At 39.6% G+C, this 19,515-nt stretch overlaps 1 protein-coding gene across 14 annotated transcripts in view; it reads left to right on the top strand.

The window, feature by feature from the left end:
* Positions 1-19,515, top strand: part of ENPP2 (ectonucleotide pyrophosphatase/phosphodiesterase 2) — a 116,305-nt gene that overhangs the window by 88,451 nt on the left and 8,339 nt on the right. For 4 of the 14 annotated variants that reach the window (NM_001330600.2, XM_024447181.2, NM_001130863.3 and 1 more), the window contains 8 exons: positions 891-978; positions 1,136-1,223; positions 2,338-2,522; positions 4,773-4,824; positions 12,690-12,764; positions 14,099-14,235; positions 15,570-15,705; positions 16,688-16,765. In NM_001330600.2, the coding sequence (NP_001317529.1) occupies positions 891-978; positions 1,136-1,223; positions 2,338-2,522; positions 4,773-4,824; positions 12,690-12,764; positions 14,099-14,235; positions 15,570-15,705; positions 16,688-16,765 (839 nt within the window). The remainder of the gene's footprint in view (positions 1-890; positions 979-1,135; positions 1,224-2,337; positions 2,523-4,772; positions 4,825-12,689; positions 12,765-14,098; positions 14,236-15,569; positions 15,706-16,687; positions 16,766-19,515) is intronic. The other 10 variants (NR_045555.2, XM_024447182.2, XM_017013575.2 and 7 more) reach the window with 3 other exon arrangements.

Here is a 19,515-nt window from a genome sequence, read left to right as displayed (position 1 = left end):
TGCATATGTCTTATTATCCCAAGCCCTTATTTTTCCAAGGGTGGAGACCCGTATGTTAGATTTTTTGTTTTCCCAAAGCACTTTCAGTGCTATATACCCATAGGTACTTAGGAAATATTTGTATTAAATTAACATGAAAGCTATTTTGGAAAAGGGTCACATGACACTTTTGCAAAAGGTGTCTTCTGTCACAAAAGGAAAGATCAGATGGTCTTGATGTCTAGAGAGCAGTATTTCTGTTTTCTGTTTCTAAATAGAGATATTGTCTAGGTGAGACCATGCTTTTGTCAGATATGTCATGATTACTGTTAAGTTGGCTGCTTAGTTGTACTCTAGTTGTATTGTATATTGATAGATAAATTTGCATGCAAATATTTTTATAGAATATAGATCTCCATTCATTGTTTAAACATCGCAAATTTATTTTATTTTAAATTTTAAATTATTATGGGTATATAATAGGTGAGACATCACATTTTTTTAAAGTGCCAACTATGTCTTGACACTGACCCTAGGGAGGGGTACATAGAAGTGAACCAGACAAACATGGTCCTAGAGTCGAGAATCTTACAGTCTCAGAGCTAGCGAAGCACCTAGACAGGCAGAGCATGACTTTTGACAAGTGCCCTACTTGGTGTAAGCACGAGCTCCAAGGAGGGCATCGTGACTTCAGTTCACAGGTCGCCATTTATCCTGCAATAACTGTCAAAGAAAAGTCACTTGGAGAAATGCATAGGATCCTCTTTTCATCATCACAAGAAGAATGCAATTAAAATAGAGGCAAACTTTCAAAAGCCCCTTCTTAGATATTCTTTGTACCCTGAAATTACCTTTTTATCAAAGTAATTTCATGAGAAATTCTAACTAATCATGAAATTGTTTCAATTTAGGAAACCTTTGGATGTTTATAAGAAACCATCAGGAAAATGCTTTTTCCAGGGAGACCACGGATTTGATAACAAGGTCAACAGCATGCAGGTATGATGGCAGAACTGTGAATTGAAATTGTGTTTTAGTGGTTCTTCGAAAGGATAAGTAATGGTGGTGTGAGTGAAGTTGTACAGTATTCATAAATAGAGGAAGGGTTCCTACCTAACAATGCTTAACTGTTTTTGTTTTTCTTTTCTTTTGGAAGACTGTTTTTGTAGGTTATGGCTCAACATTTAAGTACAAGACTAAAGTGCCTCCATTTGAAAACATTGAACTTTACAATGTTATGTGTGGTAAGTCACTCATTTAATCAGAACCATTGAAACAATCTTTAGTTAGTATATATGATCTTTCTCAATGTCAGAGAAAGAAATGAGGTGTCTATTTTCTGGGACTACCTCCTCTTCCCCACAAAAGGTTGTAACTTGCCCATTGGTTCAAAGACAGAATATTATCCCCTTCTAAGGCTTCTTTGTCTTCCTTCAACAGTTGACTAATGGGGCGTTTTCATAGTGTTGCTGTTGGCAGCCTCTGGCTGGTCTAACATAGCATTACAGTTTGACACCACTGGTCAGAGACCTGATGAAGCAAGAGTTCTGCACAGAGTCCCCTCCACCTCCATCTCTTGCATTGCAGCCCAGTTAAAAATGTTGCCAGCTTGCATCCTGGCCAGCTATTTATGTGCTCTTAATTATTTTTCTTCCTTGAACTTCTAGTTGCTGAATGAGGACAACTTTTCCTATTTAGTAAGGGAGTGCCAGTCTGGTGGTTAGAGGGGGAGTCTGCAAGTCGGGTCTCCTGGGTTCTTTTCCCATCTTGGCTGCTAGCTGTCCCCTGTCCTGCCTCTGAGCTCAAGCAAGTTACTGAATACGCACTTGGCAACCATTCACTTGCTATGAAATCAGCCTGTTCATTGCTCAGTGGCACTTCAGGGGACAGGGCCAAAGCCTCCTCATGTCCCCACACTTCTGTGGAGTCATTAGAGGGCAGACTTCTAGTTAGTTATTGATTATAAGTCTCATTTCAAAACATGGAATTAAATAGTCCCAGAGAAGTGCAGGAAAAAGTGATACTGACATTGATCACCCTTGGGTTGTAACTATCGCAGATACAGGCAATAGTTAATCAAAGTCTTGTTCCTTCACTCTTTCTTTCTGGGAATCTCTCTCTCTCTATTCATGGTCAGGCAATGAACTTGGGTATTTCAGAAAGCTGTGGCAAGATGTAGTTAGTCCAGAATGGTTCAGGAGGTAAGGAGGGGGTGCCTGCCATCTACATTTGGTTTTGTCCAGTTCTGATTTGTGTTCACAGTTTTCAGACCCATAGAAGGTGAAGGGTTTTAAATCTTACCATATCTCATCAAAAAAATATAAGAAGCACCTGCCTCCTTTTCTTAATTTTCATTAGATCTCCTGGGATTGAAGCCAGCTCCTAATAATGGGACCCATGGAAGTTTGAATCATCTCCTGCGCACTAATACCTTCAGGCCAACCATGCCAGAGGAAGTTACCAGACCCAATTATCCAGGGATTATGTACCTTCAGTCTGATTTTGACCTGGGCTGCACTTGTGATGATAAGGTAGAGCCAAAGGTAGAAATAATCTTTATGTTTATTATGGAGAAGTTTGTTGGGTGGCTAACAGTGCTGGCCCATAGAACTTTCTGTGACAATGGACATGGTCTATAATTATGCTGTCCAAAATGGTAGCTACTGGCTAGTGTGACTGAGGAACTCAAATTTTTATTTCATTACTTTATAATTAAAGAGCCCTATGTGGCTTGTGGCTACCATATTGAATAGCACAGGTATAGACCATGAAAGACAAAAAGTAGAATTCATGTTGCTATTCTGTGCAGTCACAGTTCTCAACCAAAATCTTTTTCTGTTTTCTTCAACTGTGGATCACATGTCTATTAGTCATGGTCCCGACGGGAGACAGGTGGCCCATATAGAAGAGGTTTTGAAAGAGAGTTTAGGCCAGGTATGGTGGCTCACGCCTATAATCCCAGCACTTTGGGAGGCTGAGATGGGTGGATGAATTGAGGTCAGGAGTTCCAGACCAGCTTGGTCAACATGGTGAAACCCTGTCTCTACTAAAAACACAAAAAAATTAGCCGGGCATGGTGGCGCTGGGAGGCTGAGGTGGGAGAATCGCTTGAGGCAGAGGTTGCAGTGAGCCGGGATTGTGTCACCACACTCCAGCCTGGAAGACGGAGTGAGACTCTGACTCAAAAAAAAAAAAAAGGAAATGAAAAAAAGAGAGAGTTTAAAGGAATTGTTTCAGTCATGTTTAATGAGTAATTTACCAAGGCTGAGCAGGGTGGATGGAATTCAATGAGGAGTGACGAAGTGCCCTGGGGTTCGCATAGTACCTTCTAAGGTTTAAAGGGTGAGGGGAAGGAGTAAGTTTCCAAAACATGGAGAGACAACCGAATAGGAAGGAACTATTGTATTTGGCCGATGAGTGCAGCTTGTTCATTGCAACCCAGCAGGGAGCACTCCCAGATAGGAGAGTGCTACCGTCATCTTCCTCCCCTGTACTTCCTTTCACATGTTTCCCCTTGGTAGAGCCCAACAGGGAGCCACAGGGCAAGTTTGCTCTTTGATGCCATCCCTAGAGGTCAGCCTCCCAGGCCACAGAGCAGGGTGTGGGAGGGTGCAACAAGGATGCGGTGGTGGTGCAAACAGAGACTACCCCCACACACTATGCTTGGACAGGTTTTCTTTTTTTTTTTTTTTTTTGAGATGGAGTCTCGCTCTGTTGCCCAGGCTGGAGTGCAGTAGTGTGATCTCGGCTTACTGCAACCTCTGCCTCCTGAGTTCAAGTTATTCTCCTGCCTCAGCCTCCTGAGTAGCTGGGATTACAGGCTCCTGCCACCATGCCTGGATAATTTTTGTAGTTTTAGTAGAGACGGGGTTTCACTATGTTGGCCAGGCTGGTCTTCAACTCCTGACTCAGCTGATCCACCCGCCTTGGCCTCCCAATATGTTGAGATTACAGGCGTGAGCCACTGTGCCTGGCCTTATATATTTATTAAATAACGTATGAAGTAATCTTTTGTATAGTTTCCTAAAATAACCTATACTATAGTTTTGCATGTTGTAAAATTTTTAATAAATGCTATTATACTATATGTATCCTGCAATTATTTTATCATTATGTTTTTGAGACTTAATGTATATTAGTACATGAAGTTTTAGCTCACTTATTTTTACTGCTAATACAGTAGTTAATATTTAATTGTATAAATGTACCATAAGAATTTTTTTCCATTTTCCTACTTGAGAACATTTAGTAATTTGCAAATGTTAGCTCTTACAACAATGTTGCCACAGACATTACTGGAAATGTCTTCTTGCACGCATATGCTAGGGTATACAGTGAAGGGTAGAGTTGCTGACTCATGCTGTTTCAGAATTGCTGAGTCATTACGTTTTAGCTTTGGTGAAAAGTGATTTCATAAATTAGTTTGGGAATCACTTCAGTGTGCCTAGAGATTAATCTGAAACATTTAGGCGCTATCCTAATTTACTTACACATATATGCCCAAGTCATCATCAGTACCCACATGGGAAATTGGTACTGTGGTGACTATCCACAGTTTTAAGGAAGGAAACAGAGATTGAAGAAGGTGCTTACAAACATAGAACTGCTAGAGGTGGAGCCCAGAATGTCAGTTTGAGAGAAAACAGTTAATTCCTCGAAAGAATGTATGATATAGATGGAGTTTAGAGTTCGCTTTTGAATTTAGCAGGGTGCTAAGTCGACAGAAGGGCACAGAGGGAAAGAACATTTCTGATTTGCTTTCTTTTTTCCTTTACTGGTTTTCACACATGAAGAACAAGTTGGATGAACTCAACAAACGGCTTCATACAAAAGGGTCTACAGAAGGTAAGGGGTGGTTGCAAAATAATCAGATAAGGTTTTTCTCGTTTTCGAAAATCGAAAAGGCTTCTTATTTACATTATAGTGTAAGCACAATATTGTTTAAAATTAGAATTTGTATTTCAAAGTGACTTTCATACCTATCTGGCAAAGGATATTTGTTTATTCCATGTACACAAGATGCCAGCTGTGTAATAAAAAAATTCCAATAGCTTTTCTCCCCCCTCAATAGCTTTTAAGCCCTCTGAAAAGTACACAATCCATTTTGTATCTGATGAGTCATAAGACACTGTGGGGCACTCCTATAAAGGGAATGATAGTCACAATGATAAATAATAGCAGCTGGTGCCTATCCTGAAGGTATCTACCTCGAGAGTCAGTGTATATATAGATATATATATATTGTGATAGGGAGAGATTCACCGAAGGAATCAAATCAGAACTCCCTCCTCATATGAAGGATCATCTCAAGCCCTAACTCTTACTTTACGTACAATGATAACGAGCACGTATTAGTGAACTTTCGCAAGCTTATGATATGACCAAAAAAAAAAAAATTAGTGATTTGTACTAAGAGGCGTTTCTCGCTCCCATTTTAGTGTGCTGGCTGTAGGCCAAGGGCAGCTTTGCTCCATGTGTATTCTTTATTCTGGAACCCAGGCTGAAGGAGTAGCCTTCATCAGAGACATGTCCTGCTCTTGACAGAGGGAAAAGAGTGGCAGAACTGTGCACTGTGTCTTAATGCTTCTGCTTTTATGAGGCATATGTCACTCCATTCACAGTTTGCTGGCCAAAGCTGAGCACATGATACCAATGGTGTAGGGAAGTACATTTTTTCCACGGGGACTCTATCCTGCAAGTCATATGGCAATGGGTGGAGGCAGTAAATAATGAGGAGCAATAACACAATCTACCATGCAGGCTCTTTTTATCTGATTGTGAAGTTTCACAAAATTGGAGGAAAATAGAAGGGGAGGGGAAGCCTCCTATACATGTTACTAAAGTAGATGGGATAACATGTTGAAACAGCCAGGAAATGACTAAAAGTGTATGGAAAATGCAGAAAGAATTCAAGCATAGCAGCCACAAGTCATGCAGCAAAGATGCACGTGGTCAAATTCTCCTGAGAGCATCGCTTGAGTTATTAGCTTACATATGGTTCTGTTTATCATATATGCTCTTTCCAATCTGATTAAGTAGAGTTGAGGAAACCGGTAGAAGATTTGATTTACTTGACTTATTTTTCCTCTTTTAAAGATCTTCATCTGCCTCCTTCTTCCTTTTCTGTATCTCCATCATCCCACTTCTCCCTTTGATCACAGAACACACAGACTCTGGCACAGAACGGAATGAATCTCACTTTGAAGATAGGCCATTGTTGGTAGAAGGCACACAAATCTTTCACAAACTCTACAAGTGATTTGCAATGTTCGACACCTAACCTCTAGTGGACTATAGTGTCATTATAATTAGAACAATTAGAACATTGCTAGAGTCAAAAGATGGGGAGTCTCATGATTCAAGTTTTTTAGATATTTAGTTGCCAAGGCAGATAAATACTACTCAGATGCTTCTCTTCTAAAAGTCACTAATGAAATTAATTATGGTAACTTCTATTGAACTCCCATGATTTTGCTGATTCAAAGTCTGACTGTTCATGGTACTAAAGCATTTCTGTCTGAGAAAAACATTCCTGCATTTAATTTGTTGGTGGCAGTGTCCTTATATGACAAAACCAGTCTCACAATTCATTATAAACAATAACCTCAGCCGGGCACAGTGGCTCATGCCTGTAATCCCAGCACTCTAGGAGGCTGAGGCAGGTGGATTACCTGAGGTCAGGAGTTTGAGACCAGCCTGGCTAACATGGTGAAACCCCTTCTCTACTAAAAAAATACAAAAATTAGCCGGGCGGCAGTGGCGCGTGCCTGTAATCCCAGCTACGTGGGAGACTGAGGCAGGAGAATTGTTTGAACCTGGGAGGCAGAGGTTGCAGTGAGCTGAGATCGCACCACTGCACTGCAACCTGGGCGACAGAGCGAGACTGTCTCACAAACAAACAAACAACAACAACAACAAAAAAACACACACAATCACCTCAAACTTAAGAGCATAAAAATAAGACACATCTTCTTAGTGAATCACTGACTCTCAGGGCTATAAGGAGCTATAGTTAGTAAGGTTACATCTCCATTGCTCTGCTCTGAGTGGAACGTGAGTTTCTTACTTAAATCCCTGAAGTGTCTTTTTATACCGCTGAAGCTTAAAGTTTGTGTATTTTCATGGAAACAAACCCTCATGGATACATTCAGCAAGCATTTGTTGAATACTGACACTGGGCTGGCACTGGTTACTCTGACACAACTGTACCACTGAGAGTTTCTAATTCATGGCTTCAAAGTGGTGGCATAAAATATTAGGGGGGAATCTAGAATAGCTCATGCTATTCTAAGTCTGCTCATGGCCTAGTGGCACCAACATTTAATGACACAAGAGAGCCTTCAAAAATATTTGTCTTATTATGTGCAATGCATTTCCTTGCTTAGATGCTGGAATATGTATAAACCTCAATGCTCTTTCTCCTGTTGCTCTCTCCTATCGCTGTCTCTTGGGCTTTGTTTCCTTTTGGGCTCTATCTTGGTCATTTCTTCAGTGGCAAAGCGATGTTTTCTTGGTCTGAGTTCTTTCAGGCCTTTATGGTGTTTCCTGTGTCATAAATTTGGCCTCCCATTTAAAATATTCAGTGTCTGCCCTACTGGAGGAGATCCTTGTGAATGTGAACCACCATGTATGTGAGCACACATGTATTATGTTCAGGGCAATTACTTCCCCTTTCTAGGTACCTTTGAATACATATGAAGGCTTTTAAAGTAGTTTGTAAACCTAAACTTCTATACAGATGTAAAGTTGTACTATTTTTATTATTAGTTTTTTAAAACACAGATGTAAGTAGTTGATATTTTTCAGAATATGTCATGAGCTATACACACTTCACCTGTAACATTTATATGTGACTGTTTTAATGGCATATGCTGTAAAATCTGTCATACATCTGTACAAAATACATGAGTAAAAGCTGCATGTTCCAATAGTGAAACGATCACAGGGATATCTGTGATAAAAAAGAGGTATGTTAAACCAATCTTGGGCAATATTTTGCTATAAATATTTAAACTGTTATGGAATCAAATCCTTTACTAAAATAAAGAGAAAGAAAAATGTAATCCTCAAAAATGGCCATCTAAGCTGCTTGCTAAACTTTAATATTTCTAGATAGGTGGTAGACTCCAGGTCTTAATTGCATGCCTGTTGTTATTTCTGGATCTCATATACCTAATGTCTTGGCCGACTTTCCATGCAATGAAAACTCATTTCCTTGTGGCATTGAATTGATGGATGAATTAATGAATGAAAAGAAAATTTAAAAAATCTCTTGTAGCAAGCAATTCTGGCACTATAGCCAAGTATAATTTTCACTGCAAGAATAATTGCACCATTTATTTTCACCTTGGTCTTTACTCTATTTACATTGCTATAAAAATGTTTCATATTTTCTTAGGTTAGCCCTCACCATCATCTTTGTGAAAAAGGAATTAAAAATAATTTTAACACCTATGTATACTTGGCTCCTTATCATACACAATGAGAAGTTAGTTTGGATAGGAAAATGACTTAAACACAGCTGGGTGCGGTCAGTGGCTCACACTTGTAATCCCAGGACTTTGGGAGGCCGAGGTGGGTGGATCACCTGAGGTCAAGAGTTCAAAACCAGCCTGACCAACATGGTGAAACCCCATCTCTACTAAGAATACAAAAATTAGCTGGGCATCGTGGCATCCACCTGTAATCCCAGCTACTAGGGAGACTGGGGCAGGAGAATCGCTTGAACCCAGGAGGTGGAGGTGCAGTGAGTCGAGATCTCGCCATTGTACTCCAGCCTGGGCAACAAGAGTGAAACTCTGTTTCAAAAAAGAAAAAGAAAATTGACTTAAACACTAGTAATTCTTGTTAACTTTAAAGCAGAGTCCTGAATATGGCTACAGAGGGAACATCTTCTTTAGCTCTTGTCAATTCTGGAATGTTTCTCATTTGTGTTATTTCTTTGGAGATATTAGTTGTTCTAGAGAAAGAAGGAGATAGCATTCACTCCTGCTTCTGAGTGTTTGTGTCTGCGTGTGTATCTGTGTGTTTTTGGGAATACTTGGAAGAAATCAATACATAGTAATTGTTTATTGTTTATAGTAGAATTCAAGATGAATTTGATGGTAGATTGAATTTTAACAACTTTTACCTAGCAATATTCTTTGCCAGTATTGAGGTAGAGCCCATACCTTTACTAAACAGTACAACTGCAACTGCTACAACTGCAGTTACTTTGGGTTAAAACTAAACAAGCCACTTCACATATTTTGCCTGTAAACAGTGCAACATTCCAGGGAGATATAAAGCTTTGGGAGATTAAGTTACAGAGTACCACAACTATAAAGAGCTGAGATTAGATTTGAACGCAGTTTTATATGACACTGAAGCCCATGTGCTTTCATCTGAAAATGCTTCTTATTCTAAGAGTGGGAACAAAGGGAATATGTCAAAAGAAAATTTTGCTTTTCATATACATTTTGTGGCCTAAGTAGAGAGACTCTTTGCTCAACAAAAAATTTGTATATCAAAGTTTGGAAGTTGCTTCTGAAATACTAGATGCTTTGACAGAAACTACTGTCCTCATTAGCTTCTCAGTAGGCATTACTCGGGCAGAGTTCCTGCCGGGAAGTAGTTGGATCTTCTTTCCCATACACTCTCCATGAAATAACCCAGCGGCCAGCACCCAACTGGAGACCACCCAAAAGGCCAAGCAGAAGAGTAATGGCCTGGGATTCTAGTGCTGCTATGCAGCTGAATTATTTTGTGCAAATCATAAACCTCCAGTTCCTTCATCAGTAAGTTGGAGATGATACTACTGACCTGCCCAGTGTACCTTTCAGGGTAACATTAGACAGGTCATATGTAGAAAGCCAAGATTTAAAAAAAATATGTATCATTAACTTACCAACAAGTGTTTGCCAAGTAGATATTATGTGATGGGCATTGTTGGAGATGGAAGATACAGTGGTGAGTAAAACAGATGAAGTCCTTGTCCTCATAAAGTTATTGTTCTGTTGTAGGATTTATCCAGTTGATACATTACAGCATAATGTTTTCAAGGTTGGGGTAAGAAAGAACAGGGCACTAAAGAGAGGCCTTAAATCAAATCTCAGAGGAGGTTGAAATGGCAGCAAATGATAATAGGCACTTGTAAGGCAAAGGAGAAAGTATGCAAGAAAAGGAAAGATCTTGGGTAGAGATTTTGTGGTAAGATTTAAGAGCATATTATTGTGGGAGTGTATGTTTTAAAAAAACAAAAAAGAGGAGAGATTTTCATGTGGCTCTCAAGACAGCCTGCTCATCTGTGGGAATCTGAATCAGGAAGCTGAGGAGGGAAAAGGAACACAAACTCCAGTCTCTACGACCCAAATTTGGAATACAAAAAGAATGAGTGCTGGGGAAGTCCACACCACTTAAAAAGATTGGCCTCACAGTATTTTGCCAAGTGTGGTATCTGGAGGAGAACCTTGGCATGTACCAAAACTGCCAGAGACACTATTGTAAACAGGGAACTGGGGTGTGGAATGAAGGCTCGGTCTGGAATTCCATGACAGGCATTCTCAGCCTGGGAAGACCAGGTTATACTAGATCCACGTGAAGAAATCCCAGAAACATATTGCAGAAGCAGAGGCTTGCAGGCTAGTCTCCAGGGTTGCTGGTCTCGAGATAAAGATCTCAATGTGTGCCGAGAACAAGATTCAAGTACATTTTGTGGCCTGAGTAGAGAGACTTTTTGCTCAACAAAAATGCAGTGGGTGGCTCCCCCAAGATGTCATAAAGACTAGGAGAGTCAGGCTATGACTCTGAATCTGTGATTCTTTGATACTTTGATAAACTGAAAAAATAAAATCTAAATTTTGATTCTGGACCTTAAAATCTGTGTTTCTTACTGCAGAGATTATTTCCCCCTCTTTCTTAGATGAAACTGTTAAGCTCCAGGAAGACCCAAGTAGATTTTTTTGGGTCATTGGGGACCTTGGTTGGATTTTTAGGAGGCTGTAAAAACCACTGTATTTTTTCCCCTTATTATGCTATTTTTGCTCAGTAATAATTGAGAAAAAGGCAGTCAGTGATACTTTTGTGTTCCAGCTGTGTGCCAAAACTTGCAGTTATGACAATAGCTTGGAAGCTATGGAACTCAAATTTCTTTCTTTTCTTTTCTTTTTTTTCTGAGACAGAGTCTTGCACTGTTGCCCAGGCTGGAGTGCAGTCGCACGATCTTGGCTCACTGCATCCTCTGCCTCCCAGGTTCAAGCAGTTCTGCCCCAGCCTCCCAAGTAGCTGGGATTACAGGCGTGTGCTACCATGCCTGGCTAATTTTTGTATTTTCAGTAGAGATGGGGTTTCACCATGTTGGCCAGGCTGGCTCAAACTCCTGACCTCAAGTGATCTGCCCACCTCAGCCTCCCAAAGTGCTAGGCTTACAGGCGTGAGCCACTATGCCTGGCCAGAACCCAAATTTCTGAAGCAAGTTGAATCTATATATGTAGAGCAGTAGAGTGAGTAGAGATGGAGAAGCTTTATTGAGGAAACCTTTCAGGAGAAAATGAATCTTTTTTTTTTTTTTTTTTAAGAGACGGAGCCTCGCTCTGTCACCTAGGCTGGAGTGCAGTGGCATGACCTTGGCTAACTGCATCCTCCACATCCTGGGTTCAAGCGATTCTCCTGTCTCAGACTCCCTAGTAGCTGGGATTACAGGTGCGCACCACCGTGCCTGGTTAATTTTTGTATTTTTAGTAGAGACAGGGTTTTGCCATGTTGGCCAGCTAGTCTTGAACTCCTGACCTTAAGCAATCCACCCGCCTTTGCCTCCCAAAGTGTTGTGATTCCAGGCATGATCCACCATGCCCGGCAGAGAAAATGAATCTTAAGATATCTCTGCCCCTCTTGGGCCCCTCGCCCTTTCTTCTTCATGTCTCTTCCATGAGGGCTGAATATTTGTCATACACTTTTGAGCGTGAAAAGGGACACTATTAACAATTATACCAGGGCAACAGGCATAAAACTGTAACATGGGGCCAGCCTGGTTTAACTTCATATGCTCCTTAAAGGACTTTATTGATGCCACCTTCACTCCATTTCCAGTATTCATCATCCTCTGCATTCCCATCACACTCTGTAACTATCTTTAATATGGTGCAGACCACATGGCATCTGTTATTTGTGCTATGTTTGTCTCTCCCTTTGACTTGTGAGCTCTTTGAGGGTAAGAGCTCTATCTTAATCATCTTTGCCCAGTACCTCCATTCTACAGCGCAAGGTCTGGCACAACCAAGGCGCTCAATGTTTGATGATGAAGAATAATGGATACATTTGGAAGGAGATAGGTGACAGACTTGGCGAAGACTGGAGAAGTTATTTCTGGTAGAGAGAAAGGAAATAGCATATATGATAGTGTAATGTTGCTAACAACAATTGTGAAGAGAGTGTTGCAAATACATTAGCCTTTGTGGAATAGAGTGTTACGTTGAATGCTTAGAAATGAGGAGGATTTAGAGGAAGAGCCAGAGTTAGTAGAGACTATAGATTGTCCAAGATTTTTGTTTGGTGGTTGCTCTAGGGAGGGGTATTGCGTATGGGAACATGGCTGCTATTTTATTGTCCCCTAATGGAATCGATTAGATGCCAAGCTTGAATTTGAGTTTGGAGGACTGTGTGTGGTAACCATGAAAACTTAAATGATGAAAAGAGAATAGCTTCTCAAAGAATTTTGATACTTCTGCTTCCAGCTGAAACCAGGAAATTCAGAGGCAGCAGAAATGAAAACAAGGAAAACATTAATGGAAATTTTGAACCTAGAAAAGGTTTGGTTTGAGTTTTGAAGGAAAGTCTGGGTTGTTTTACTGCCCCTAAGTACTACTGTTACGATTTGCTGGTGTTTTATTTGTTTATTATATTTCATTTATTTAATATTGTCAGATTATGTTCTAATCCTTAGGGGTGGGTCCCCAAATTTGGCAGCTTAACTAAGGCTTCTACATTTACTGCAATGCTGGAGCAGCCGAACTACCCAGAACAGGCTTGTGTTGTAATAGTGTGGGCCGCTTTGTCTCAAATCCGCAGTTCTATCTGGGAGGGTCTTGCAAAGTATTCTACGAAGACTTTTCTCCATTACTTGCATAGAATGGTAAGACTTTAATTAAAGCAACATGTATACATTATTTAATAAGTGTTTTTCAGAACTGATTTTCTCTAGTAGAAAAAATAGTACAAGAATTTATTTTTTTTTAAATTTATCACTTAAGGAATTGTGAATTGCCTAAGCCTCAGTCTCTAAATATTTTGGTCTGTAGGGCCCCACATTTCCAAGAATCTGTGGAAGTTTTGACTTTAGCCTATCCAAAGTGGGCAGATCAAGCTCCAGGTATTTATTGCAGAGTGTGGAATGAAGATTTTCATACTGAACTCCCATCTCTTCTTCCGCAAAGAGTAAAGCTTCAGACCTTTTTTTTTCCTAAGAAGAGAGCTTTCCTTTGGAGGTCTGAATCTGCACTGGGGGTCTTCATTGAGTTCTTTGGTAACTGATGAACTTCCCTCTTCTGTACTTAGAAGACCCTCTTGAATGCCCACTTATTTTATCTATACATGTTCCTTTAAGTTCTTACCTAAAGACTTTTCCTCTGTATGACAAAGCTGCTTACTTTAAATGCTCATTACTACTCACTTTTTATGCTGAAGGAATGCATATTTGAGTTGCTGTATGCATATAATGATCAATGTGTGCCTTCTTCTTAATTAAATCATTGGTGTACCTGATAAGCCTCTTCAGGGGTCAAAATAATTAATTCTACAGAAATCCAATCCTATTGGCTTTCCATTCAGCTGAATCATTTCAAAATTTATTACATAATGTTTCCTTTATATACAAATTGTAAATTCTTTACAACTAAAAAAAGCATTCTGTAAATACAGCATTTACATTATGGTTTTGATAACTGTAAAGCTTGACCCATGGTTAGGTGATCAGATCAACCACAAAAGTGTTAGGAAAACTAGCTTGATTAAATTAAGGAGAAGGTGCTATATTAATAATAAGTAAGCTAGCCATTTTAGGTAACTTGACTCTTCCAACATTTCTTTAACATTTGATGTAAAATTTAATATGCACCTAACACAGTTTATTTTTTTTCTTTTTTAGAGAGACACCTCCTCTATGGGCGACCTGCAGTGCTTTATCGGACTAGATATGATATCTTATATCACACTGACTTTGAAAGTGGTTATAGTGAAATATTCCTAATGCCACTCTGGACATCATATACTGTTTCCAAACAGGTCATTGAGAAAATTGGATTTTATATTTTTTATTTTATTACATTCCTCATGTTAATACAATGATTCCTTGCTTAACAGAATTTTGTCTTAGAAAATATTTTATTTTTTCTTAATGACAGAAATCCTATGTTGGATTTATTGTAAGATATTTTGAATTAGCCTTTATTCAATGTTCTGGTAATTCCATGGGAATATGTTAAACTTTGAAGGTAGATCACTAATTCTTTTATTTTCTTTTACTCTGCCTAAGTCATTGCCCAATAGTTACAGAAACTGCCAAGGTTTGTTTATTTATTTTAATAGACTTTATATTTTAAGAGCACATTTTATTTCTCAGCAAGATTGAGTGTAAAGTGCAGAGTTCCCACATACTCACCCACCCCCCTTCAACCTCCCCCACTATCAGCATCTGTTTTTTTTTTTTTTCTAATGTTTTGAGACCGAGTCTTGCTCTGTCTCCCAGGCTGGAGTGCAGTGGCATGATCTCAGCTCACTGCAACCTCTGCCTCCTGGGTTCAAGTGATTCTCCTGCCTCAGCCTCCCGAGTAGCTGGAATTAGAGATGCACGCCACCACACCTGGCTAATTTTTGTATTTTTAGTAGAGATGGAGTTTTGCCATGTTGGTCAGGCTGGTCTCGAACTCCTGACCTCAGGTGATCTGCCTGCCTCGGCCTCCCAAAGTGCTGGGATTACAGGCATGAGCCACCACGCCTGGCCCTGTTGTTTTTTAACAAAAGTTTTATGTTGGGGGTTTCAGTTTTGATGAAGATGAGATAAATAGGTATATATCACAAATTAGAAAATGTTATTTGGCAGTTGAGGCATGTTTAAAATTTTTTAATACAAAGGAGGAGAACACTTCTACTGCCCCAAATACAGTTTATTTTGATTTGTACTGTGTACACATACGTATGTTCTTGTACATTCTACACACACACACACACACACACACACACACACAGATAAATAGTCTATTTAGAGGAGATACATCTATATTGTTTGTAAGAGTGTTATTTTATAAGTTATCTTCAATGAGATTCTATTTATTATTTCAACAGTGGGATTTCTGCTTTATGTTCTGCTTTCTATATTGTTTTTCTTAAGACTTTGATAAAGAGAGTTATGTTGATTAAAAAAAGTTTGAAAACTTGTGGCTTACTGTACTTAAAACTAAGGACTTTTAAAAAGAAGTCAGACTATCAAAGATAAAAAATTTAAAAAAGGAGTCAGACTATCAATCAGAATACAAGCATAGGAGAAGCCAGAGGGGTTTTGATTTCAGCCGTTCGTAACAGAGCCACGGCATTGCTGAGTGCCTCTGACTCCCGTGCAGGCTGAGGTTTCCAGCGTTCCTGACCATCTGACCAGTTGCGTCCGGCCTGATGTCCGTGTTTCTCCGAGTTTCAGTCAGAACTGTTTGGCCTACAAAAATGATAAGCAGATGTCCTACGGATTCCTCTTTCCTCCTTGTAAGTTAAGAATATCAAGATCTGATGCCTTCAGAGGGATGTCACATTGTGCAATCTTGGTATTTGGAATTTCAGTGGCTTGGGTTTTCTTCAAGAGAGGGTGCTCAGAAGATTATCTAAATGAATTTTTATGGGATCCTTCCAAAATCAGCCAAAAAGTGACTAGCTTTCAAAAAAATCTAATTCTCCAGGGGAATTCTAATGTGCAAGGGAATCTTCTGTGTCCCGCCTTACATTATTAAATGAGAATCTGAAAAGGAAACAGTGAATCATTAAGACACTAGTCGTTTATGTAATACTATAGAGGGGATCTCTTAAGATTGCTTGAGGCCAGGCATGAGCCACCATTGTAATCCCAAAGTAATTCCAGCACTTTGGGAGGCCAAGATGGGAGGGTTGCTTGAGTCCAGGAGTTCGAGATGAGCCTGGACAACATAGCAAGACCTTGTCTCTAAAAAAATTAAAAAATTAGCTGAGCTGGTGGCACACGCCAGTAGTCCCTGATACTCTGGAGGCTGAGGTGGGAGGATCCCTTAAATCTGGGAGATTGAGGCTACAGTGGGCTGTGATCAGGCCACTGCACTTCACCCTGGGTGACAGAGCAAGATTCCATATTTAAAAAAAAAAATCTGAAGCCCTTAAACCATCTCTCATTACCTTGATGATTTTTTTTTAAGTCTAAATGGCACTGATGAAATCAAGGAGTTATTTTACATAATGTTGGTAGACTCAAGAAGTAGACAGTAAGAAAAAAACATTGTAAATGGCTCTTGGGAGAGAGCTATTGAGTGAAGAAGAGACTGAGTGGGAGGGGAGTAAGGACATGTTGTATAACGCAGTTAGGAGTAGGAATAAAAGAGTAGATTCATTTACTTCATGTTGTTTGGACCATTTAAGAAAATTCTACCCCCCTCTCCCTTTTTTTTTTAACTGATATAGATTTTGGTAAGCAACGTATACTATTTGTTTTCCTAATGTTTAGATCTGAGCTCTTCACCAGAGGCTAAATATGATGCATTCCTTGTAACCAATATGGTTCCAATGTATCCTGCTTTCAAACGTAAGTCCAATATTTACCTAATACACTGTTATTTATGAAAATAAACATTTCTAAATTTACCCCTTACCTTTTCTACCTCTGTTAATTTTAATAAGAATACTTTTCATGTGTTTAACCTTTATAATTTTTGAGGATCTTTCATGTAAACTTTCTACATTGATGTAAACTTTGATTTCATGTAAACTTTCTACATTGATCCAAAATTTGAATCTGTGAGGAAGGTTGGCTGGTAGTTTATCCCCGGTTTATAATTAAGAAATTGATATCACAGAAAGTGACCACAGGTCATGCATGGTAGAAACTGAACTAACCCAAGTTTGTGTTTTTCTTCTAATATGGTTGTTATTTTTATTTCAATACTTATTATCTTAATGGTTAAAAAGGGTCTTCACTATATTTTGAAAGCCACTTGATATTTAACAGCATCTATATTTATTTGTTGAGCATTGCAGTAAAAGCCAGTAGCACCTCTTCCTCTTGGGGTGATAACATTTTCTGAATGTTGGCCCTGAAACCCAGCAAGAGCCGAAAGGACCTTCTGAATCATCAGAGTGTTTATTTCAGATGATTTTAGTCCTGTACCAATTATTTTAGTTTCTTTGAACATTTGTAATTTCTTTGTACCTGACATAAATATTTGTGGATGCTGGTGAAGTCAAGAATTGTATAGGCACAATGAGCTCGGGCACAAAAAGCCAAGTTCCTGGAGTGTGACCACAGGCTGTGTGATCATAGAAATGTCATTAAATCTCTCATTTGTGAAATTAAGAGATATGATTGCATGACCTCTAAGGTTTATATGGATTTCTGACTTAATTATCCAATGTCGAAAGCACTGCATTTTTTGTTTCTGTTAACTATTCATCTATGTCTCCATCCTCATTCATCCATCCATCCCCCTGTCCACCCATCCATCCTTTTATCTATCCATGTGTTCAAAGATAGAGTAAGCATTATGAAGTAGCTTTTACCACCTTTCAGTACATTTGTAGTGAACAGAACTTAAATCGTTATGGGAAAGGTAGGAAAAGGAAGCACCTCTATGTGCTTCAACTTGATGGAGGAGGTTCAGGCTGTGTTATGTAACTCTCAGGGCTGAAAGGGAGTCTCAAAATAGGAATGGGCGATTGTGGAGTGTCAGCTACAGTGGCGGGCCTCCGCAGCTTAACATTGGTGAAAAGGGCCACACGGTTTAGAGAAAAAAATGTTTATTTGATGTCCTAGTTAGTAAACGAAGGTTTATTCAAAGAGAATTTATTGCTTATGAGTGAAAAATTAAAGTATGCTTTTAAAAAGATTTCTTGGTTTGTTCTCAGACCCAACTGAGAAGCATTTCAGAAACTCACATAGTTACATTTATCACAATATTACATAGAATGCAGCTTCATTTAATTTCTGCAAATCAGGGTTCTCTGGATTTCTTTATTCTTTATTGATGTGTTTTTTTGACCAAATGGTAATCAAGGCAACACACAGTACCACCCTGAGGCTGGTGTGGAGAAGGCCTTTCATAGAGAGCTTGCTGTTCTCCACGAGGGGGGTGGTTTTTTCACATGCCACATTTCTGCAGGCCTGGCCTTTTGACTGTTCTCATTGTTTCTTTCCTTCTCTTCCTCTCCATTTTTTCTTAATGCTTAAGTTAACGTTTGAACTCCTTTCTTACTGTCTGGCTTCTTTCTTGACTGCAAATAATTATCTAAGGTATTTTGGCTCTTGTGGGCTGCTCTGCCATTCAGAGTTTCAGAAGGCAGGAAGAGCAATTGAAGCAGTATGAGAAGCATGGCCAGGTGCTTTTTAATAAGGGGAGGGAAGAGGGGTTAACAGCCAGAACCGCATGACACCCATGTTGAAGACAGCATGGCGAATTCGATCTAATATTTCAGAACCAACCCATTGCTTGCCTATCCTGTCTCCTTCTGTTATTCTCTTGTTTTTCTCCATTTCCATTCTGCCCCTCTGGTTGGCCATTATGGAAATTAGAAGCAGGAGGATAAGGCAGTTCTCTGCAGGGGATGACAGTGAAAGTGAGAAAGAATTATAGAGGAGAAAGCAGACATGCACAGATCCAGGAATGTTTTTCAAACGAAGGAAAGAGCAAGTGCAAAAGCTTAGCCTGAAATAAGTTAGGGGAAAAGTCAGGGGACAGGAAGAAAGTCTTGCGAGTGATAGGGAAAGGGGTAGGAAGTAAAGTCACAGAGGTAGGCAAAGACCATGGTGGGGAGTTGGGATTTCACTCTAATTACAATGAAAAATAATCTGGAGTGTTGGAAATGGGTGGTGTGTGTGTGTGTGTGCATGTGCGTGCAAGAGAAAGATACAGTCTGACTTATGGTGTAAAAGGCTCCGTCTGGCTACGATATGGGGGAGTGGGCTACAAGGTACAAGGGAAGTAAGCATTTCACAGGGAACCCAGGGAATAGTCTTTTGTGGTGTGATAGCTCACTCAGAGAGGATGGTAAGTTAGACCAGGATAGAGCAGTGAAAAGATGAGAGGTGGTCAAATTTGGGATAATTGGGATGTACTTTGGTGATAGCACTGACAGGAATTGTTCACATGTGTCTATAGCTAGGAGAGAAAGCAAGGATGACTCTTAGGCTTTTGGCCCAAACACCTGGGTGAGTGCCAGAGCCATTGATTATGATGGAGAAGGCGAGGGTTGGGGCAGGATTAGGAAGGAACATTAAAATTCTTTTGCTTGACATGAATATTAGGTATTCCAGTGCATTAGGAGGTAGGTGGTTGGATAACA

This window comes from Homo sapiens, chromosome 8 (assembly GCF_000001405.40).
Source record: "Homo sapiens chromosome 8, GRCh38.p14 Primary Assembly".
Lineage (NCBI taxonomy): Eukaryota > Metazoa > Chordata > Mammalia > Primates > Hominidae > Homo > Homo sapiens.
Note: the sequence above shows the minus strand (reverse complement) of the source record. Positions and strands in the feature narration are given on the sequence as shown.